The 25,003-nt window shown below is 38.2% G+C and overlaps 1 long non-coding RNA gene across 5 annotated transcripts in view; it reads left to right on the top strand.

Annotated features, from left to right (window-relative positions):
• Positions 1–15,827: 15,827 nt before the first annotated feature.
• Positions 15,828–25,003, top strand: part of LOC107985862 (uncharacterized) — a 63,638-nt gene continuing 54,462 nt past the window's right edge. For all 5 annotated transcript variants that reach the window (XR_001739388.1, XR_001739387.1, XR_001739389.1 and 2 more), the window contains exon 1: positions 15,828–15,966. This is a non-coding gene — a long non-coding RNA (uncharacterized LOC107985862). The remainder of the gene's footprint in view (positions 15,967–25,003) is intronic.

Here is a 25,003-nt window from a genome sequence, read left to right as displayed (position 1 = left end):
CCTTCATATTCAAAGACAGGAATGGAATGGCACACAGAGTTCTTCTTATGCATTGACTCTCTGACATTCCTTTATACCACCAGCTATAGAAGGCTCTCTGCTTTCAAGGGCTAATATTATTAGATCAGGCTCAGCTAGACAACCTTCTTGTCTTAAAGTCAATTCTGCTATATAATATAACACAGTAATGGGAATGAGAACTAATCATATTCACAGGTTCCAGGAATCAGGATGGGACATCTTTGGGAGACCATTTTAGAAATTCTGCCTACCATAGTGGGCCACATGGATCCATGAGCCCACTCAGCAATTATTTTCTCAATTCCTGAATACATGGTTGGAATAGACACTCTTGGCTACTGGAAGAATCACAACATTGGGCCCTTGACTTGCAAAAAGGGATTTATTATTATAGGAAAGGCCAAGTAGAAGCCTGGGCGACATGGTAGGGAATAGTGTTAGCTTCAGTCTCTGGTACTGAGTATGGAGCTATTAGTCTAGGATATGCTTTATTTTCTGAATGAACAGAAAAGACCACCAGAAACAATAACTTTTTCTTTTTATGTGATTGGGATAATAGTATTCCCTTACTGTTTTACCCAGTGCCATGTCAGCTGTCAAAATTGAGAACACAGAGACATTGATTATCTCACCTTCCTGTAGAATATCATGCTATCCACTTCATTGATAACATAGTGTTGATGGACCTAGTTAAAAGGAACTGGCAAATATTCTAGGTGCCTTTGCTAGATATATGCATTACAGAGGTTGGGAGAGAAACTTACAACCTTAGTGAAGTTTCTAGGAATTGTGTAGTCTGGGGCATATGGAGATTAGCTCCTTCAAGTGAAAGACAAATTACTGCATATTGAGTGTTATTACTAATAAAAAGGCGTAGTACTTAATGGGATATTTGGATTCTGGTGGCAACATGTCTCTTATCTGAATTTGCTGCTCTAACTTATTAAGTAATAAATAAAGATAAGCTGATATGATACTTGAGTTTTATGACCTGTTTGGTCCCATTATGCCCAAAGCATCTGGTAAGAATGTTGTATGGTGTGCAGAGACACACATAGGCTCAAAATAAAGGGATGGAGGAAGATCTACCAAGAAAATAGAAAACAAAAAAGGCAGGGTTGCAATCCTAGTCTCTGATAAAACAGACTTTAAACCAACAAAGATCAAAAGAGACAAAGAAGGCCATTACATAATGGTAAAGGGATCAATTCAACAAGAAGAGCTAACTATCCTAAATATATATGCACCCAATAAAGGAGCACCCAGATTAATAAAGCAAGTCCTTAGAGACCTACAAAGAGACTTAGACTCCCACACAATAATAATGGGAGACTTTAACACCCCACTGTCAACATTATATCAACGAGACAGAAAGTTAACAAGGATATCCAGGAATTGAACTCAGCTCTGCACCAAGCAGACCTAATAGACATCTGCAGAACTCTACATCCCAAATCAAAAGAATATACATTCTTCTCAGCACCACATCGCACTTATTCCAAAATTGACCTCATAGTTGGAAGTAAAGCACTCCTCAGCAAATGTAAAAGAACAGAAATTATAACAAATTGTCTCTCAGATGACAGTGCAATCAAACTAGAACTCAAGATTAAGAAACTCATTCGAAACTGCTCAACTACATGGAAACTGAGCAACCTGCTCCTGAATGACTACTCGGTACATAACGAAATGAAGGCAGAAATAAAGATGTTCTTTGAAACCAACGAGAACAAAGACACAACATACCAGAATCTCTGGGACACATTTAAAGCAGTGTGTAGAGGGAAATTTGTAGCACTAAATGCCCACAAGAGAAAGCAGGAAAGATCTAAAATCGACACCCTAACATCACAATTAAAAGAACTGGAGAAGCTAGAGCAAACACATTCAAAAGCTAGCAGAAGGCAAGAAATAACTAAGATCAGAGCAGAACTGAAGGAGATAGAGACACAAAAATCCCTTCAAAAAATCAATGAATCCAGGAGCTGGTTTTTGGAAAAGATCAACAAAATTGATAGACTGCTAGCAAGACTAATAAAGAAGAAAAGAGAGAAGAATCAAATAGATGCAATAAAAAATGATAAAGGGGATATCACCACCGATCCCACAGAAATACAAACTACCATCAGAGAATACTATAAACACCTCTACTCAAATAAACTAGAAAATCTAGAAGAAATGGGTAAATTCCTCGACACATACAACCTCCCAGGACTAAACCAGGAAGAAGTTGAATCTCTGAATAGACCAATAACAGGCTCTGAAATTGAGGCAATAATTAAGAGCCTACCAACCAAAAAAAGTCCGGGACCAGACGGATTCACAGCCGAATTCTACCAGAGGTACAAAGAGGAGCTGGTACCATTCCTTCTGAAACTATTCTAATCAATAGAAAAAGAGGGAATCCTCCCTAACTCATTTTATGAGGCCAGCATCATCCTGATACCAAAGCCTGGCAGAGACACAACAAAAAAGGGAATTTTAGACCAATATCCCTGATGAACATCTATGCAAAAATCTTCCATAAAATGCTGGCGAACTGAATCCAGCAGCACATCAAAAAGCTTATCCACCATGATCAAGTGTGCTTTGTCCCTGGGATGCAAGGCTGGTTCAACATATGCAAATCAATAAACATAGTCCAGCATATAAACAGAACCAAAGACCAAAACCACATGATTATCTCAATAGATACAGAAAAGGCCTTTGACAAAATTCAATAGCCCTTCATGCTAAAAACTCTCAATAAACTAGGTATTGATGGGACGTATCTTAAAATAATGAGAGCTATTTATGACAAACCCACAGCCAATATCATACTGAATGGGCAAAAACTGGAAGCATTCCCTTTGAAAGCTGGCACAAGACAGGGATGCCCTCTCTCACCACTCCTATTCAACATAGTGTTGGAAGTTCTGGCCAGGGCAATCAGGCAGGAGAAAGAAATAAACGGTATTCAATTAGGGAAAGGGGAAGTCAAATTGTCCCTGTTTGCAGACGACATGATTGTATATTTAGAAAACCCCATCATCTCAGCCCAAAATCTCCTTAAGCTGATAAGCAACTTCAGCAAAGTCTCAGGATACAAAATCAATGTGCAAAAATCACGAGCATTCCTATACACCAATAACAGATGAACAGAGAGCCAAATCATGAGTGAACTCCCATTCACAATTGCTTCCAAGAGAATAAAATACCTAGGAATCCAACTTACAAGGGATGTGAAGGACCTCTTCAAGGAGAACTACAAACCACTGCTCAACGAAATAAAAGAGGACACAAACAAATGGAAGAACATTCCATGCTCATGGATAGGAAGAATCAATATCATGAAAATGGCCATAGTGCCCAAGGTAATTTATAGATTCAATGCCATCCCCATCAAGCTACCAATGACTTTCTTCACAGAATTGGAAAAAACTAAAGTGCATATGGAACCAAAAAAGAGGATGCATTACCAAGACAATCCTAAGCCAAAAGAACAAAGCTGGAGGCATCACGCTACCTGACTTCAAACTATACTACAAGGCTACAGTAACCAAAACAGCATGGTACTGGCACCAAAACAGAGATATAGACCAATGGAACAGAACAGAGCCCTCAGAAATAATACCACATATCTACAACCATCTGATCTTTGACAAACCTGACAAAACAAGAAATGGGGAAAGGATTCCCTATTTAATAAATGGTGCTGGGAAAACTGGCTAGCCATATGTAGGAAGCTGAAACTGGATCCCTTCATTACACTTTATACAAAAATTAATTCAAGATGGACTAAAGACTTAAATGTCAGACCGAAAACCATAAAAACCCTAGAAGAAAACCTAGGCATTACCATTCAGGACATAGGCATGGGCAAGGACTTCATGTCTAAAACACCAAAAGCAATGGCAACAAAAGCCAAAATTGACAAATGGGATCTAATTAAACTAAAGAGCTTCTACACAGCAAAAGAAACTACCATCAGAGTGAACAGGCAACCTGCAGAATGGGAGAAAATTTTTGCAGTCTACCTGTCTGACAAAGGGCTAATATCCAGAATCTACAAAGAACTTAAACAAATTTACAAGAAAAAATCAAACAACCCCTTCAAAAAGTGGGTGAAGGATATGAACAGACACTTCTCACAAGAAGACATTTATGCAGCCAACAGACACATGAAAAAATGCTCAACATCACTGGCCATCAGAGAAATGCAAATCAAAACCACAATGAGATACCATCTCATACCAGTTAGAATGGCTATCATTAAAAAGTCAGGAAACAACAGGTGCTGGAGAGGATGTGGAGAAATAGGAACACTTTTACATTGTTGGTGGGACTGTAAACTAGTTCAACCATTGTGGAAGACAGTGTGGTGATTCCTCAAGGATCTAGAACTAGAAATACCATTTGACCCAACCATCCCATTACTGAGTATATACCCAAAGGATTATAAATCATGCTGCTATAAAGACACATGCACACGTATGTTTATTGTGGCACTATTCACAATAGCAAAGACTTGGAACCAATGCAAATATCCATCAATGATAGACTGGATTAAGAAAATGTGGCACATATACATCATGGAATACTATGCAGCCATAAGAAAGGATGAGTTCATGTCCTTTGTATGGACATGGATGAAGCTGGAAACCATCATTCTGAGCAAACTATCGCAAGGACAAAAAACCAAACACCAGAAGTTCTCACTTGTAGATGGGAATTAAACAATGAGGACACTTGGACACAAGAAGGGGGACATCACACACTGGGGCCTGTTGTGGGGTGGGGGGAGGGGGGAGGGATAGCATTAGGAGATATACCTAATGTAAATGACGAGTTAATGGGTGCAGCACACCAACGTGGCACATGTATACATATGTAACAAACCTGCACGTTGTGCACATGTACCCTAGAACTTAAAGTATAATAATAATAAAAAAGAATGTTATGTGGAGGCTCTTGCAAGACTTAGTAAGAGAGTCACTTTGAAGAACATCTAGAATTTTGGAGCAAAGTCATGCCCTTCTCCTGCATTTGAGAAACAGCTTATTGGTTGCTAATTGGCCCTGGTAGAGATCAAATTTTGATCATGGGATAACAAGTGATTATGTGACTTGAACTGTCCAATATAAAGTAGTTATAATGTTGGACATAAACAGCAGCCTTCCACCATCAAGTGGAAATTGTACTGTGTCCAATAACTTTTGTTGGTCTTTCCAGATACATTTTTTACCTTGTTATTTCCCTCGGGAGATGACCATACACAATATCAGTAGACAATAACTATTACGTCCCCTGATTTCCAGCTTCTGGTTGGGTTGAATCAATTAGGAGCCTGGTGGGAGACTGAAAAAAGAGGAGGGAAGTTCCTTTCATGCAAGGTTACCTTGGGTTTGCTGTGTCCCTTAGCCAAAAGTCCTTTAATCTTGAACTTCTCTGAAGGAAGCCCTCTTCACGTAAGTTTCTCTTTTTGGATTACACTACCTGGTTCTCTTCTTTTGCTACTTCAAACTTAGGGAAGGTAAAAGCCCCAGGGTATTACACTATCCTTTTGTGATTTTCCCACACTCTGCACATACATTTGTTAATAATTTCTTCATTAAACCCTCCTCACATGATCTTATTTTGATGGCCTCATTCATTCCTGGTTCAGGACCTGACTGATGCAGTGTCTGGTACTAGAATTAACCACAAGAAAACAGAGCCTGAAAATTGGATTCTAGTTTGGGTTAATTATTCATATGAGTGGAACTGAGATATGCGTATTTCCAGAGTCATACGATTGCATCACAATCACTCAGATTATCATTGTTAGTAGCAAGGGATAAAGTGCAGGTGAAAAGAAAAGTGTTGGTAGATTACGTCCTAAAGACACAAATAAATTTTGTAAGCAGGTGGGTCAGACTCCTGGGGGAGTTCCCTTCAACAGACTAATGAGAGAGGAAAAAACTCGCTTAAAGATGGTACATTGACACATGGGTGGCTCTGACAGTAAGGAAAGAAAGATCTATTGTTTATTCAGTTGTGTGCCCGCTGGAAGATGACACTTTGTGAGTGGGGTGCTGTACTATAAGAAGTGGTATATGCTATGAGCTAAGAAGTTATACAAAGTGCTGTTTCTTCCATTTTTTCCCATTATCCCATAGTCTACAAATGGGGGTGGAGTTACCTGGCTTCTCTTTCTATTTTACCTAATAACCCATTCACATACATTTTGCTTTCCATTTCTGCAACTTTTGCCTCTGTTCTTCTGAAGAACCTCCAAAGTGTCTTCCATATCAGTCCCATTTTTATAGATAAGGAAACCTAGGCAAACAGAGGTTAAGTAACTTGCCTAAATTCACATAGCTGTCAAGTGGAAAGGCCAAGCTCAAACCAGTCTGTCAGACTCCAAAGCCCATGATTCTTTGATTATACTCCGAAGAAGACAAAGCAGGAATGTAGGCTAAAAGAAGGTAGGCAAATGGTATGAGCAAAGAGGTTTATGTAAAGTTTCAGTCACCAGGATAAACAAAGCAAAACTCAGTAGGACCCTTTTGCAATAATTTCAAATCCTATGATAGGAAACACAGAAGGATTGGGTGGAAGGAGACCTTCTAGCTATGGAGCCTCCTAGTGTGAAGGGCAAGTGCACCAACCCCAGCCCCACCTCCCCAGCACACTATTTTTGTGCATGTGGTTGTTAGGGAGCTAATGCCAGGATAGAGCCCAGAATTAACCCCAGAGAACATCAGAGCTATATGTTCTTCATGCACTTGGCAATTCTCAAGTGCCATACCTTTGCTAAGTGACTGGGAAAGGTAAGTGTTTACTTAGGATATTGCAGGGCAAGACTTCGAGGGAATCTGTTAGATACAAGTTTAAATTCTCTTAAATCTAGGGTAGTGCTCAGAGGGATCCAAGACCTCAAAGAGCATTTTTGGGTCCTGGCCTGATATTGTTTGGAATCCTGAGTTGCTCCTGGCATCTGGAGGAGCTGGAGGGTTGTCTGGCTGCTTGAAAAGGCCAAGAAAATCCTGCCATTTCATCTTCCCAATGTGTTACAGAAAAGTTTCCCAAGCTTGTGAATGGAGTGTCAATTCCAAACTTTGTCCCTTTGGGCCAGCAGAAAGCATTGAGTCCTCTTATAAAAGCAGATCATTCAGAGTGGAGAAACAGCAAAGTTTTAAAGTGGAATGTGATGTGTGTGTGTGTGTGTGTGTGTGTGTGTGTGTGTGTGTGTGTGTCCCTTAGAAGAAAGCCTCTTTCAGAATGGAAAACATTTAGTATTAATTGTTGTGAGGTGTCCTCATTAAACTTCCCATTGCTCTGTGCAAGGTCATGGTAGGTGCTCAAAGGGACTGGACAGATGCAGAACAAGTGTAAAAGGGAATGCTCAGGTGTAAAAGAGCAGTGCCCACCTCTGTCTCTGGCTCTCTTCCTCCTGGGGTTTGCCCTTACAAATTGCTCCTGGGTTTTTAACTGTGCTGGGGAGTTGCTACTACTACATACAGCCCTCAGGGCACAGTTCCTTCCAGGACACTCAGAGTATCTGCATCAGTGTTACCTGGAATGGCACTGAAAATGCAGATTCCTCATATGGAATCCAGATTACCCTGACATGTTACTTAGAAAAGCTTCTCTGGGTATTCTTACAAATGAAAGTCTAGACCATTTCTGCAGGGGCTTCTACCTGTTACCCAATATTGACAGTCAATTCTAAGAGCTTTATCTATATTTTTTCATTTAATCTTGACAATATTCCCCCGGTTAAGAACTATTATTATCTCCAGAATTTTTACAGAAGCTGAACATGAGGCACAGGGAAAGTAAATAACTTGTTCCGGGTCACATAGCAATTAGTGGAGTCAGCATTCGAACTCAGAGAGTTTACAGAAAACATGCTCTTAGTCATTATGGTAAGCCCTGTGGATTAATCCTTCTTTTCTTTATGTTGATCAAGATCAAATTGTGTTTTTTCTTCTTGCTGATGAACTTTGCTAAGGGATGAAGGGGAAACACATTTTCAGTGGAGAATTTCTTTATCCCTTCTACATAAGAACTGTCTGGACATGGTAGGTTTGGTTGACATAGCTTCCCCAGAGCAATCCACGTCCTGTCCTTAACTCATGAGGAAACACTTTGCCTCCACTCTGCTCCAACCTGCCCTTTCGACCTTACTTCCTGCTCCGGTGCAGGAACCTGGCTCCAGGTCAGCAGATCTATATACTTCCTCATGCCTACATCTTGGCCTAGCCAGTGTGGTTGCTTTGGCTTTCCCACCTAGTAAAGGACAAACATATGCTTATGCAATCTTCAAAGACCAGCCAGTTCAAATATTCCCTTTTCAGAGAAGGTATCAGAAAGTCCACAAAAAGCCTTTATCTTGTGAGGTCCCAGGGCCACTTAGCAGCCTGAGACCCACTTTTTGGGGCTTCTTTCCTCTCCTGTAGCAGGCGCAATGCTTAGCTACCTTTTCTCTTATAGCTTCTCTAGCTGAGTGGGGGCGGGCTTTGTTTGCTTCTTGACTTGTGAAGAGTGGGTTTCTCATTGTCCTGAAGGCAGATACATGGCCCTTTCCACTTGAAGAGTTTTAGTCCCATTCGTTATGCAAGCATCAAAAATCTTGCAGCTTAAGGAAACTTACTTTATTTTGTCATCGCCTCTGGTTCACAGCTCAATTCTCTTCCTGAGATGGTTACTGAGATAAACTTTCTCCTCCATGTTTTTCCCCTGAGGATGAAGTTTCATTAGCCTCTCTCCTCTTGTCAATGCCCACAAGTGAATACAATGCAGTTATCTTGGTGCAGTGCTCTCTGTCCAAAGTAGGGGCCTTGAGTTTCGACTTCTTTAACACATTTTGGCAGGCCTGTGTTCTGCTCAGAAGGGCTACCTTCAGACATTTCCTCTGAAAAGTCTGTCCTGCCCATTTCTTCCTGAGGTGAGCTCCTCAATTTTTAGGTCATGTATGAGAGAACAGCTCTACTTTTACTATATAATCACCATTACTCTAAGTGTACATGCTTTAATATTGTGATATTATAATATCACAATGTTATAGTTACACAAATAATACTGAGTAGAACCATTCCTCCTGAAAGGAAGTCAAGAACAGTAGAGAAGAGAGAGGCTTGATGAGGTTACTTACATGAGGGCGTGATCTATTCACCGTTTTGCTCTGACCAAAAAGGAGGAACCTAACAGATATTTCTCAAGACAGGAAAAGGAGGGAATCTGCTACCTTTTGGGCTCTGGAGGTTAGTCAGTGATGTGAAGCAGAGAGATCCTGGGGAAGAAGTGGGCCTTAGGAGGCACTATAATGAAGGGGCTGAAGGGAGGACCCAGGAGTCAATGAGGTGGATTTCCATCTGGCTGTTCCATTCACCAGCTGTGGAACCTTAATGTAGACATATTAATGAATTGCTGTGTCTTTATCTATTAGATAATAATAATTATCCCTACTTTGTAGAATTGTTGTGAAGGCTGATGAGTTAATATGTGTGAAGTGCAAACGAGAATGCTTGACATATAGTAAATGCTGTATAAGTGTTGGCTACCTAAAGGCCATATGACCACTGAGAGAAAGGAAAAGAAGGAGAGATGAAATGAGGGAGAGCAGGAGAGAAATGTGTTTGGGGAAAAACACAGAACTTACAGGTGGAGGGACTTTCAGGAAATCCGAGGAAGCATCTGGTCAGCAAATAGAGCAGAAAGTCAGGAAAGGGTGCTTGGATCAGGGAGGGAAATGTATACCTTGAGGAAGCAGGGGGCCAGGAGCTCTCATGAGAGGAAGAGATGGATGGAGAATCTAATTGGTGCACCTCCTTGGTCCTGTAGGAATACTGAGGGACCCAAAGAAGAGAGTGAGAAGGCATGTGTATCTCACCAGACCTCAAAGTGGTGCCCAGCCAGAGTCTCATGGGCTTGGGTATCTCAGAAGTTTGGCCTCAGGTGCAATTAAGACACAGATGAAAGAGCCCTTGACAACCAGGATGTTGTGCCAGCCAAGTCAAGTTGTAGCCAGGTTTCTGTTACTTTAAGATGAAGAAACTATGTTCAATTACTTTACCACTCAGGAGGATATTTAAATTATCCCATTTTCCTTAGCAAAGAAAAGAAACTATAGTCTGGTCTCAGCCAAAGTTATAACTGCGAGCAGAAGCCATTTGGGGAGTGTTTTCTTAAATTTTTATGTGCATCAGAATCACTACCTGGTCTGAGTGGAGCCTGGCAGTTGCGTGTTTAAGAGGGAACCATGTTATTTTGATGTTTACCAAAAAGTTTAGGAAACACTTCTCTCTCAATGCTTTTCAATCTTTAATGTACACACACATTACCTGGGGATTTTGTTAAAGTGAGGATTCTGAAGGTCTGAGGTGAGACTTGAGATTCTGCATTTCTAGCAAGCTCCCACGTGATGCTGATGCTGCTGGTCTGAGGACGACATGGCTTAAAATATTGTCCCCGTTTTGTTTTATTTGAACATTTTTATGGATATATAATTGTTTTACATATTTATGGGGGTACATGTGATATTTTGATTTAAGCATACAATATGTAATGAACAAATCAAGGTAATTGAGATATCCATCACCTTAAACATTTATCATTTTTTTGTGTTGGGAACATTCCAATTCCACTTTTTTAGTAATTCTTAAATATACAGTAAATTATTGTTAACTATAGTCATGCTATTGTGCTACTGAGCATTAGATCTTATTCCTTCTAACTAACTATATTTTTGCACCCATTAACGTATCCCTACCTATTCCTCCCCACACTACCCTTCTCAGCCTCTGGTAGCCATCATTCTACTCTCTATCTCCATGATATCAATTTTTATAGCTGCCAAATATGAGCAAGAACATGCAATATTTATGTGCCTGGTTTATTTCACTTAACATAATGTCCTCCAAGTTGCATCCATCTTGCTGCAGATGACAGGATTGTATTCTTTTTTATGGCTGATAATATTCCACTGGGTATATGTACCACATCTTCTTTATCCATTCATCTGTTGATGGACATTAGGTTGATTCCATATCTTGGCTAGTGTGAGGAGTGCTGCAATAAACATGGGAGTACAGATATCTCTTCAATATGCTGATTTCCTTTCTTTTAGATATATACTCAGCAGTGGGATTACTGCATCATGTGGTAGTTCTATTTTTAGTTTTTTGAGGAACCTCAATACTGTTCTCCACAGTGGCTCTAGTAACTTAAATTCCCATCAACAATGCAGGAGCATTCTCCTTTTCCTACATCCTTGCCAGGATTCATTATTCTTATTATTCTTTGATCTTTTTATTTATTTATTTACTTTTTTATTATACTTTAAGTTTTAGGGTACATGTGCACAACGTGCAGGCTTGTTACATATGTATACATGTGCCATGTTGGTGTGCTGCACCCATTAACTCATCATTTACATTAGGTATATCTCCTAATGCTATCCCTCCCGCCTCCCACCACCCCACAACAGGCCCCGGTGTGTGATGTTCCCCTTCCTGTGTCCAAGTGTTCTCATTGTTCAGTTCCCACCTGTGAGTGAGAACATGTGGTGTTTGGTTTTTTGTCCTTGCAATAGTTTGCTGAGAATGATGGTTTTCAGCTTCATCCATGTCCCTACAAAGGACATGAACTCATCCTTTTTTATGGCTGCATAGTATTCCATGGTGTATATGTGCCACATTTTCTTAATCCAGTCTGTCATTGTTGGACATTTGGGTTGGTTATTTTTTGATCTTTTTGACAAAAGCCATTTTAACTGGGGTGAGATGATATCTCATTGTGGTTTTGATTTGTATTTCTCTGATGATTAATGATGTTGAACATTTTTTCATACGTCTGCTTGCCATTTGTATGTGTTTTTTGAGAAATGCCTATCAGATTTTTGCCCATTTAAAAACTGAATTATTAGATTTTTTTTTCCTGTGGAGTTGTTTGAGCTCCTTATATATTCTGGTTAATAATCCCTTGTCAGTTGAATAGTTTGCAAGTATTTTGTCTTATTCTGTATGCTGTGGTATAATACTTTTGGTATTATTTCTTCTGTAAATATTTGGTGGAATTCAGCAGTAAAGGCACCAGATTTTAAGCTTTTTTTTTGCTGGGAAACTTTTTATTACTGCTTCCCCCTTGTTACTCGTTTATTCAGGTTTGCATGTCTTCATGGTTCAGTCTTGGTATGTTGTATGTGTCTAGGAATTTATTCATTTCTTTTAAGTTTCTAATTTATTGGCATATGGTTTCTCATAATAGTCTCTAAAGAACCTTTAAATTTCTGTGGTATCAGTTGTAATTTCTCCTTTTTTGTCTCTGATTTTATTTATTTGAGTCTTCTTTCTTAGTCTGGCTAGTTGTTTTTCAATTTTGTTTGTGTTTCAAAAAGCCAGTGTTATGATTCATTGATTCTTTGTATTTTTTTAAGTCTTAATTGCATTTATTTCGGTTCTGATCTTTATTATTTCCTTTCTTCTACTAATTTTTGGTTTGGTTTGCTTTTGGTTTTTTAGATCTTTAAGATGGATTGTTGGGTTGTTTAAATCTTTACTTTTTTTGATATTGGCTTTAATTGCTATATCTTCCCTTTTAGTATTGCTTTTGCTGTATCCTATAGGTTTTGGTATATTGTGTTTCCATTTTCATTTTGTTTCAAGAAATTTTTAAATTTTCTTCTTAATTTCTCCATTGACCCAATGATCATTTAGAAGCATATTGTTTAATTTTCCTGTATTTGTATTATTTCCAAAATTCCTCGCATTATTGAGTTCTAATTTTATTCCATTGTGGTCAGAGAAGATACTTGAAATGATTACAATTTTTGAAGAAATTTTTTGAGACTTGTTTTGTGATCTAGCATTGAGAATGTTCCATGTGCCAAGGAGAAGAATGTGTATTGTGCAGCTGTTGGAAAAAAATGTTCTATAATATAAATGCCTATTAGGTCCATTTAGTCTGTAGTGCAGATTAGGTCTGATGTTTCTTTGCTCATTTTCTGTCCAGATGATCTGTCCAACACTGAAAGTGGGATGTTGAAGTCCCCAACTCTTATTGTATTTGGACCTATCTCTTTAGCTCTAGTAAAATTTGCTTTAGACATATGGGTGCTTCAGTGTTGTGTGCATTAAATATTTACAATTGTTATATTTTCTTGCTGAATTGGCCCCTTTTGTTATTATATAATGACTTTCTTTTTATCGCTTTTGTCCTGAAATCTAGTTTTATCTGATATAAATATAGCTACTCCTGCTTGTTTTGGGTTTCTTTTTGCATGGAATATTTTTTTCCATCCCTTCATTTTCAGTCTGTTTGTGTCTTCATAGGTGAAGTTGGTTCCTTGTAGGCAGCATATAGTTGGATCTTGTATCTATAAATATATATATAATATATATATTTGGAGCTTCCATATTTTATATATATATATATATATATATATATATATATATATATATATATTTTTTTTTTTTTTTTTTTTTTTTTTTTTTTTGGGGGAGGCAGTGTCTTACTATGTTGCCCAGGTTTCAAACTCCTGGTCTCAAGTGGTTCTTTCACCTTGGCCTCCCAAAGTGCTGGGACTACAGGTGTGCACCACTGTGTAAGGTCTTGTTTTTTTTGTTAAATTCATTCAGCCACTCTATGTCTTGATTGGATAATTTGGTCCATTTACGTTCAATATTATTGTTAGGTAAAGACATACTACTGCTGTTTTGTTACTTGTTTCTTGGTTGTAATGTTAGTCATTTCTTCCCTTCTTCTTGTCTTCCTTGGTGTTTGAGTAATTTTTCTCTGGTAGTATGTTTTAATTTCTGGCTTTTTATTTTTATGTTTCTATTATAGGTTTTTGCTTTGTGATTACCATGAGGCTTGCAAATAACACCTTTTAATCAATTATTGTAAACTGATGATAGCTTTAACTCTGATCACAATTAAAAGAAAAAAGAGCAATCAAAGAGAAAATAAAAAACTCTACATTTAATCTGTATCCCTCCTGTGTTTTGACTTTTTGTAGTCTCAGTTTATATTTTTTATATTGTCTATTTCTTAACAAATTGTTGTAGTTATTGTTTTTGATAGGTTTGTCTTTTAGTCTTCATACTAAAGATATGAGTGGTTTATACACTGCAATTACAGTGTTGGAGTATTCTCTATTTGTACTTACTTTTACAGTGAGTTTTATACCTTCAGATGATTTATTGCTGCTTGTTAGCATTCTTTTCTTTCAGATTGAAGAACTCCCTTTAGCATTTCTTGTAAAACAGGTCTAAAGTTGGTTTAAATCCCTCAGCTTCTATTTGTCTGGGAAAGTTATTATTTCCCCTTCATGTTTAAAAGATAACTTTGCTAGATATAATATTCTAGGTCAAGGGATTTTTTTTCTTCATCACTTTGAGCATGTTATTCCATTCCCTTCTGGCCTGTAAGGTTTCCTCTGAGAAGTCTGCTGCCAGACATATTGGAGCTCCTTCATATGTTATTTGCTTTTCTCTTGCTGCTTTTAGGATCCCCCCTTTGTCCTTGATCTTTGAGAGTTTGATTATGGTATATCTTGATGTAGTCCTAAGTGGGTTGAATTTTCTTGGTGTTCTTTGACCTTCTTGTATCTGGATATTCATATCTTATTGTTTCTTTAAATAAACTTTCTACTCAGATCTCTTTCTCTAGACCAAAAACTTTTGATTTGCCCTTTTGAGGCTATTTTCTAGATTTTGTAGGCTTACTTAATTTTTTAAATTCTTTTTTTCTCCTATGACTGTATTTTCATATAGTCTGTCTTTGAGCTCACTAATCCTTTCTTCTGCTTGATCAATTCTTCTGTTGAGACTCTGATGCATTTTTCAGTTGGTCAGTTGAATTTTTTGGCTCCAGAATTTCTGTTTGATTTTTAAAAATTATTTCAATCTCTATGACAAATTTATGTGATAGAATTCTGATGAATACCTCCTTTGTGTTACCTTAAAGTTCGTTGAACTTCCTCAAGATAGCTCTTTTGAATTCCCTGACTGAAAGGTATCTTTGTCACTCCAGGATTGGTCACTGGTGCCTTATTTAGTCTGTTTGATAAGGTCACGTTTCCCTAGATTTTCTTGATGATTGTTGATGTCTGAGCATTGAAGTTAGGTATTTATCCCAGTCTTTGCAGTCTGGCCTTGTTTGTACCTGTCCTTGAGAGGGCTTTCCCAGAATTCAATGGGGATTGAGTGTTGTTACCAAAGCCTGTGGTCATTGAAGCTGTTTTAGCACTAGAGGGCACCCTAAACTGAGGAACACTGTGATTTTTGCAGACTCCTAGATACACAGCCTTGGTGTACTTGGTGGATTTGGGGAAGATAAGGGAGACTTCTCCAGGTTCCAGGTGAAGTCTGTTGCTCTTCTCTTTCACTTTCCTTCAAGGAGAAGGAGTTGGTGATATGGTTTGGCCCTGTGTTCCCACCGAAATCTCATCTTGAATTGTAGCTCCCATAATTCTCTCATGTTGTGGGAGGGACCCAGTGAGAGATAATTGAATCATGGTGGCAGTTTCCCCCATACTGATCTCATGGTAGTGAATAAATCTCATGTGATCTGATGGTTTTATAAGGGGAAACCCCTTTTCCTTGGCTCTCATTCTCTTCTCTTGTCTGCCGCCACGTGAGAAGTGCCTTTAGCCTTCTGCCACGGTTGTGAGGTCTCCCCAGCCAAGTGGAACTGTGAGTCCATTAAACCTCTTTCTTTTGTAAATAGCCCCGTCCTTGGGTATGTCTTTATTAGCAGTGTGAAAATGGACTAATACAGTCAGTCTCTGCACTGAACTGGAGTTGGGGAGGGGTGACGTGGGCACTCCCATGGCCACCACAGCTGGCACTGATTGGGTCACACCTGAAACTTATGACCTTCCAGATGAACACAGTACTGGGACTTGCCCAAGACCCACAGCCACTACTTCCTGCCTGCCTGCTGCTGCTGTTTATTCAAGACCAAAGAAGGGCACTTTAGGTAAAAGGGCATAGTTGGTGAATCCTGCTGGGACAGGGTCCATCCCACCAGGTCAGCAGATTGGTCTAGAAACACCACCCAGGAACAAAGGCTTGGAACTGGGAGCTTTAGGAATCTGCCTGTTGCTTTATTTTACTAGGCTGAGCTGATCCTCAGGTTGCAAAACAAAGTCCTCTGTACTATTTCCTCTCCTTCTCCCAAGCGGAAGGAATTTCTCCCTGCACTGCACTGCACTGCACTGCACTGCACTGCACTGCACTGCCTGGAGTTAGGGAGAAGTGATGCAGGCACTCCTGTGGTCACTGCAGATGGTGTTGCATGGGGTTGCACCCCAAGTCCACTGCCTCTGTGACCAGTGCAGCACCAGGGCTTGCCCAAGGACTATGATCTTAATCGCTGTGGCCTGACTGCCATTCAAATTTATTTGGGTCCCCAGGCCACTTTAGTCAGCTGGTGCTGAAGCTGGCCAGGATTAGAGTTCCTTCTGCTGGGGTGGGAAATTCCCCTCTGGCCCAGGGCTTGTCTAAATGCTCCCTCTGTGGGCACTGGCAGAACTCTGCCTGGTATTGTATTCCACTGTGATAGGGTGGTACTGAATTCCAGTGAAGAATCCCACACATAATTTGCTCTCCCTTCCCCAGGTGCTCAGGTTATCCCTTTGTGCTGTGTTGCCTGGGGTTGTGGGAGGGGTGGGGTAGGCACTGCAAGACTGTCCTTCCTACCCTCTTCAATGCCTCTTTCTTTGTTACTATGTTAAAACCAGATACACTATCTTTGTTATTATGTTAAAACCAGATCATAGTATCACTCAACTGAACTTTGGGTTCGTATGAAGGTGCTTTCTTGCAAGGATAGTTGCTCAGTCTGTTGTTCCTCGGGAGGGGATGGGCAATTGCTGGAGGATTCTATTTGACTATCTTGCTCTGCCTCCTCAAGGACTACGTTTTGAATAGCAAGACTGAGAACAAGTACCAAAGTCTGGGGGAAAAAGAGAGGGGGTGAGAGAGAAATCCTAGTATGGTTATGGTTACATAGGAAATGATGGCAAATCCCAGGAGTGGGAGAATTGGAAAAAGCTGTATCTGCTGTTTTCCTCCGTTTTATGTGCAGGAAACTTAGCTTAATGTAGAATCACCTGCCATACATAGGCAGTTACAGATTCCTGGGTTCCACCCTTGACTTACTAAATCAGAATCCCCAGGGAGGGTTTTGGGAGTTCACATTTTAAAAAAGCACCCCAAGTGATCTGTGTCATTAGATAAGTTTGGGAAACATTGACAAGAGTGTTGAGGAGAAAGTCAATTAAAAACTAAGCTAGTTTAAGATTAAATTTTAGAATAGATCACCGAAAACTATGTGTGATATAAGGAAATTTTCTCAGTCACCTGTAATTGTTTTCCTTATTGCTTGAAGAAATTTTCCATTTTATTGAATGCATTTTAGAGTTTTAAATACAAAACTTACATTATGTTTTATAGATTTAAGTTCAGAAAACTAGGAAAACAGTGGAGGTGAGAGAAAGTGGTAACAAAAAATTGAATGAAGATCCTTTAAAAAATGTGAGCTAATGAAAAATTTGAGTCTATGGAAAGAAAAGTGGCATTAGCAAATGAAACATTAAATGCTTACTACATGTTGTACTAGAAAATCATTGAAACCCTGATGAGCTCTGGATTTTAATGGTGTTCATTGAAAATCAGTGTTAAGCTTTAATAGATTACCAGAAAAATGTCTCTTGGTGTGCTTTGCAAAGTTGAAAATATTGATTAATGTGGTGACCAATTTCATCATATTAGGGGCCACAGAGATGTTTTAATTGTGGTTCTGAGAACATATAATTGACTACACCATTTTAAAGCTTGTATACGTATGGTGGTAAATACATCCATATTGTTATGCAGTCATCACCACCATCTATCACCAGAACTCTTTCATCTTGCAAAACTGAAAGCATTTCCATTAAACACTAACTCCCCATTCCATTCTCCCCTTAACCCCTGGCAATCACCATTCTACTTTTTGTCTCTATGGTTTTGACTACTATAAGTACCTCATATAAGTGGAATCATACCATAAGTCTTTTTGTATCATCTTCCACCTTTAAAACAGGGAAAATTAGTCTTTTGCCCTAGTGTCTCTTTCTTGTGCCTTCTCCATCTTTCTAATTATATATATTTGGTGTCATGCCCTCATATACCCTTTGTCTTACCACTCTTTTCTCTTTTCCCACATGAAAAACTTTTCAAAATGTTGATCAGAAAGACAGACTAAACACATATTTGTTCTCATTGAACTGTCAAGGATTGCAGATCTTTCATGGGTGTTTTCTTAGTCGGGTGTTTTTAACAGAAGCAAATGATTAGCAGAGAAATAAATCTCAAACATCAGTGAATAAATGCAAGATATTTGTAGTCAGTAGAAAAGTATGGGTGGGGTAAAAATTCCAAAGCCCAGGCCACAGCTGAGACCAATTAAATCAGAATCTTGAGAGTGGGCTCTAGGCCTAAGTATTTATTTATTTATTTTTTACAGCTTCCATAGTGACTCTAATGTGTGACCACACTTGAGAATCATTGTGTAAAGTAGATGCAAAGACAGCAGCTCTGAGCCATGCTTGGACATTAGAATCAACTGGGAGCTGAAAAAAAATATTGCCCAGTGCCCGAGCCCTGTCTCAGGCCAATTAAATCAGAATATTTGGGAATAGAGGCTGGGCAATGATGTCTGTTTAAAAAGCCCCCAAGTGATTCTAATATATAGGCAGGATTGAGAAGCACTGAACTAAAACATAAAAAAGCAGGCCCCCAAATTGAGTTTCTGAATAATTTTTTTCAACCTTCAAACAAAAATAATCTTTATGCTTCATACATACTTTCTGCTTATGAAAAATGGAATGCTATTAGAAAACAAAGTGGTGAAAATGGAATGATACTGAATTTTAAAGGAAATGTGGACAAGTAGCAGAGGCTGAAGACAGAAATAGGTGACTTTTATGTTAGATTTTTAGTTTTTATTACAAAACTAATTTGCATTTAGTACAAATCCTTTTAAAATAGGAATAAATGAATGATAATAAAAGTGATCAGATATAACCACCCTTAACTTTTTGAGATATATCATTTATCTTTTTTGTATTTTGTATTTCCATATTTAAATTTATTCCTATAGTACATAGTGTTAAAAAACATTATTGTGGAGAATTAAAAAAATAATTTCAACTTTTATTTTAGATTCCGGGGGGTACATGTGCTGTTTTTTTACATGAGTATATTGCATGATACTGAGGTTTGGGGTGCAACTGATCCTGTCACCCAGGTAGTGAGCACAGTACACAGTTGTTAGTTTTTCAACCATTGCTCCCCCTACCCCCATAGTATTTCTCACCGTAAATTGTTGCCATCTTTATGTCCATGAGTACCCAGTATTTAGCTTCCACTTAAAAGTCGAAAACACATGGCATTTGGTTTCCTGTTCCTACATTAATTCACTTAGGATAATGGTCTCCAGCTGCATCCATATTGCTGCAAATGACATGATTTCATTATTGTGGAGAATTTTGCACATATATAAAAGCAGACTGATAGTATAACGATCTTCCATTACTCAATCACTTCACTTCTATAATTGTTGACTCATGGTCCATATTCTTTTATCTAAACCCTAATTCACTTCCCCCATCATGAATTATTTTTGAAGCAAATCAAAGGCAGTACAGTATATCATTCGTTCATAAGTAGCTTAGGTTTTTTTCTCAGTTAATATATTGTGAATATTTTTCCATTTCACTAAATATTTTCCTATTCATTTTTAATGTCTGTATAGTATTTCATCATATGAATTTATCATTATTCATTTAAACAATCTCCTACTTTCTTTCTTTTTTTTTTTTGAGATGGAGTCTCGCTCTGTCACCCAGGCTGGAGTGCAGTGGCGCGACCTCGGCTCACTGCAAGCTCTGCCTCCCGGGTTCACACCATTCTCCTGCCTCAGCCTCCTGAGTAGCTGGGACTATAGGTGCCCACCACCACACCCGCCTAACTTTTTTTTTTTTTGTATTTTAGTAGAGACGAGGTGAAACCATGTTAGCTAGGATGGTCTGGATCTCCTGACCTCGTGATCCGCCCACCTCGGCCCTCCTAAGGTGCTGGGATTACAGGTGTGAGCCACCTCCCCAGCCAACAATCTCCTACTTTCTTTTTCTTCTAACTCTGGAAACTTAAAGTTTGTTTATCATTAATACTCTTTATCATTAACATTCTTTTTCTTTTCTTTCTTTCCTTTTTTTTTTTTGTAGTGCCCTAAAGTCGATTTTTTCTTTTATGTTGTTAGGCACTTAGCAGCCCTGAGTTCTGTGGAGTGAGCCGTTAACATTGCTTCTTTAATTTTACCTAACTTCTCTCACTTTTTCCTTCCTCCAACATCTTTTCCAATACCTTCTTTACCCTTTACTTTTAGCCTCTTTGAGATAGGCACAAGAGTCAAGAAGTCAAGAAATCAGTTGATATTTGTAAATTGCCCACCCTTGGGGATATAAAATAGGTAAGACATCTGACCTCTAAGAAACTTAAACATTGTAACTGTATTATTTGAAGACATGCTCTAATATCAACAAGTGATCATGATAAATTAGAACATTTCTTTTACTCAGGATCAGGATATACGTCATGTAAAGGTCTCATTTGAGTTGTGTTTGTATTAGGATATACTACCAGGAGTAGTAGAATGAGTAGTATTTAGGACATCGATTTTCACTTGCTTCAATAGGTGATGTCTGTGTTCATCTTCAGTGAAAGGACAGGCCAAGGGTTAATCATAACTAAGTAAATGAAATTCTCAGAGGCATGAAGGAAATGTGATTTTTTGGTATTATTTCCTGGTTGTCCTGCTTTGCCTAGGATAGAATTTAATGAGAGGGTAGTTGACAATGCCAATGAACTTTCTCAAATGTTAGATGTCTTAAATGTGCTCTGAAAGTGGCTGCTTTTTATTCTATTTGGAATCGGCCTAAGCCTTTGGCTGTACACAATAGGCTCTGACTCTGAAACTAACAGAGGACATAACTGTGGCAGTCCCATGGTATCATAAAATATGTTAATCCACTCATAACTTGCCAAACTCAAGCATCTACAGAAAAAGAAAATATAGGATCTAATTGCAAATGAAATGACACAAAATGAGCTGAATCTTTATCCACTTTCCTTTTAAAATTTTAAATACTTTGTAATGATTTTTTTAAATTTTTTGTTTTTTTAATGGGAAACGAATTTTATTATAAGTCAGATCAGTCTCCCCAAGCATTCAGAGGTTTTTTTTTTTTTTAATTTAAGTTCTGGGATACATATGCAGAACGTGCAGGTTTGTTACATAGATATACATATGCCATGGTGGTTTGCTGCACCTTTTAACCCACCATCTAGGTTTTAAGCCCCACATGGATTAGGTATTTGCCCTAATGCTCTCCCTCCCCTTGTTCCCCAACCCCCGACAGGCCCCAGTGTGTGATGTTCCCCTCCCTGTGTTCTCATTGTTCAAATCCCACTTATGAGTGAGAACATGTGGTATTTGGTTTTCTGTTCCTGTGTTAGTTTGCTGAGAATGATGGCTTCCAGCTTCAGTCATGTCCCTGCAAAGGACATGAACTCTTTTTTTATGGCTGCATAGTATTCCATGGTGTACATATGCCACATTTTCTTTCTCCAGTCTATCACCGATGGGCATTTGGGTTGGTTCCAAGTCTTTGCTATTGTAAATAGTGCCGCAATAAACATACTTGTGCATGTGTCTTTATAGTAGAATGATTTATAATCCTTTGGGTATATACCCAATAATGGGATTGCTGGGTCAAATGGTATTTCTAGTTCTAGATCCTTGAGGAATCGCCACACAGTTTTCCACAATGGTCGAACGAATTTACATTCCCACCAACAGTGTAAAAGCGCTCCTATTTCTCCACATCCTCTCCAGCATCTGTTGTTTCCTGACTTTTTAATAATTGCCATTGTAACTGGTGTGAGATGGTATGTCACTGTGGTTTTGATTTGCATTTCTCTAATGACCAGTTATGATAAACTTTTTTTCATATGTTTGTTGGCCACATAAATGTCTTCTTTTGAGAAGTGTCTTTTCATATCCTTTGCCCACTTTTTGATGGGGTTGTTTTTTCTTGTAAATTTGTTTAAGTTCCTTGTAGATTCTGGATATTAGCCCTTTGTCAGATGGATAGATTGCAAAACTTTTCTCCCATTCTGTAGGTTGCCTGTTTACTCTGATGATAGTTTCTTTTGTTGTGGAGAAGCTTTTTGGTTTAATTAGATCCCATTTGTCAATTTTGGCTTTTTTTGCAGTTGCTTTTTGTATTTTAGCCATAAAGTCTTTGCCTATGCCTATGTCCTGAATGGTATTGCCTAGGTTTTCTTCTAGGGTGTTTATTATTTTAGGTTTTACATTTAAGTCTTTAATCCATCTTGAGTTAATTTTTGTATAAGGTGTAAGGAAGGGGTCCAGTTTTTGTTTTCTGCATATGGCTGGCGAATTTTCCCAGCACCATTTATTAAATAGAGAATCTTTTTTCCATTGCTTGTTTTTGTCAGGCTTGTCGAAGAGCAGATGGTTGTAGATGTGTGGTCTTATTTCTGAGGACTCTGTTCTGTTCTATTGGTCTATGTATCTGTTTTGGTACCAGTACCATGTTGTTTTGGTCACTGTAGCCTTGTAGTATAATTTTAAGTCAGGTAATGTGATGCCTCCAGCTTTGTTCTTTTTGCTTAGGATTTTCTTGGCTATACGAGCTCTTTTTTGGTTCCATATGAAATTTAAAGTAGTTTTTCTAATTCTGTGAAGAAAGCCAATGGTAACTTGATGGGAATAGCATTGAATCTATAAATTGCTTTGGGCAGTATGGCCATTTTCATGATATTGATTCTTCCTATCCATGAGCATGGAATGTTTTTCCATTTGTTTGTGTCATTGCTGATTTCTTTGAACAGTGGTTTGTAGTTCTCTTTGTAGAGATCTTTCATCTCCCTAGTTAGCTATATTCCTAGGTATTTTATTCTTTTTGTGACAATTGTGAATGAGAGTTTATTTGTGATTTGGCTCTTGGCTTGAGTGTTGGTGTATAGGAATGCTTGTGATTTCTGCACATTGATTTTGTATCCTGAAACTTTGCATAAGTTGTTTATCAGCTTAAGAAGCTTTTGGGCTGAGACGATGGGGTTTCCTAGATATAAGATTATGTCATCTGCAAACAAAGATAATTTGACTTCCTCTCTTCCTATTTGAATGCCAGTTATTTCTTTCTCTTGCCTTATTTCTCTGGCCAGGATTTCCAATACTATGTTGAATGGGAGTGGTGAGAGAGGGCATCCTTGTCTTGTGCTGCCTTTCAAGGGGAATGCTTCCAGCTATTGCCCATTCAGTATAGTGTTGGCTGTGGGTTTGTCATAGATTATTCTTATTATTTTGAGGTATGTTCCTTCAATACCTACTTTATTGAGAGTTTTTAACATGAATCAATGTTGAATTTTATCAAAAGTCTCCTCTGCCTCTATTGTGATAATTATATGGTTTTCGTCTTTAGCTCAGTTTATGTGATGAATCATATTTATTGATTTGCATGTCGAACCAACCTTGCAACCTAAGGATGAAGCCTACTTGATTGCTGTGGATTTGTTTTTGGATGTGTTGCTTGATTCAGTGTGCCAATATTTTGTTGATGGTTTTTGCATCAATGTCCATCAAGGATACTGGCCTGAAGTTTTTTGTTGTTGTTGTTGTATCTCTGCCAGGTTTTGGTATCAGGATGATGCTGGCCTCATAGAATGAGTTAAGGAGGAGTCCCTTGTCTTCAATCTTTTGAAATAGTTTCAGTAGGAATGGTACCAGTTCTTCTCTGGACATCTGGTAGAATTCAGCTGTGAATTGGTCTGGTCCTGGGGCTTTTTTTTTCGTTGGTAAACTGTTTATTACCACCTTAATTTCAGAGCTCATTATTAGTCTGTTCAGGGATTCAATTTCTTTCTGATTCAGTCCTGGGAGGGTATATATATCCAGGAATTTATCCATTTCTTCTAAATTTTCTAGTTTGTATGCATGGAAGTATTTATAATATTTTCTGATGGTTGTTTGCATTTCTGTCGGTTCACTGGTAATATCCCCCTTATTGTTTCTGATTATGTTCATTTGAATCTTCTTTATTTTCTTTTTTATTAGTCTAGCTAGTGCTCTATTTTATTATTTTTTTCAAAAAACTACCTTCTGAATTCATTGATTTTTTGAATATATTTTTGTGTCTCTATCTCCTTCAGTTCAGTTCTGGTCTTGGTTATTTCTTGTCTTCTTCTAGCTTTGGAGTTTGTTTGCTCTTGGTTCTCTAGTTCTTTTAGTTGTGAAGTTAGGTTGTTAACTTGAGATCTTTCTCACTTTCTGATGTGGGCATTTAGTGTTATAAATTTCCTTCTTAACACTGCCTAAGCTGTGTCCCAGAGATTCTGGTATGTTGTATTTTTGTTCATTAGTTTCAAAGAACTTCTGGATTTCTGCCTTAGTTTCATTATTTACTGAAGAGTCATTCAAAAGCAGGTTATTCAATTTCCATATAATGGTATGGTTTTGAGTGAATTTCTTAGTCTTGATTTCTATTTTTATTTCACTGTCCAAGAGACTGTTATAATTTCAGTTCTTTTGCATTTGCTGAGGAGAGTTTTACTTCAGATTATGTGATCAATTTAGAGTAAGTGCCATGTGATGATGAGAAGAATGTATGTCCTGTCGTTTTGAGGTGGAGAGTTCTGTAGATATCTATCTATTTGATTCAGTGCTGAGTTCAGGTCCTGAATATCTTTGTTAATTTTCTGTCTCAGTGATCTAATATTGTCAGTGTGGTGTTAAAGTCCCCCACCATTATTATGTGGAAGTCTAGATCTCTTTGAAAGTCTCTAAGAACTTGCTTTATGAATCTGGGTGATCCTGCATTGAGTGTATATATATTTAGGATAATTAGATCTTCTTGTTAAATTGAACACTTTACCTTTATTTA

This window comes from Homo sapiens, chromosome 2, assembly GCF_000001405.40.
Source record: "Homo sapiens chromosome 2, GRCh38.p14 Primary Assembly".
In the NCBI taxonomy this organism is placed as follows: Eukaryota; Metazoa; Chordata; class Mammalia; order Primates; family Hominidae; genus Homo; species Homo sapiens.
This window is presented reverse-complemented; position numbering and strand designations above follow the sequence as displayed.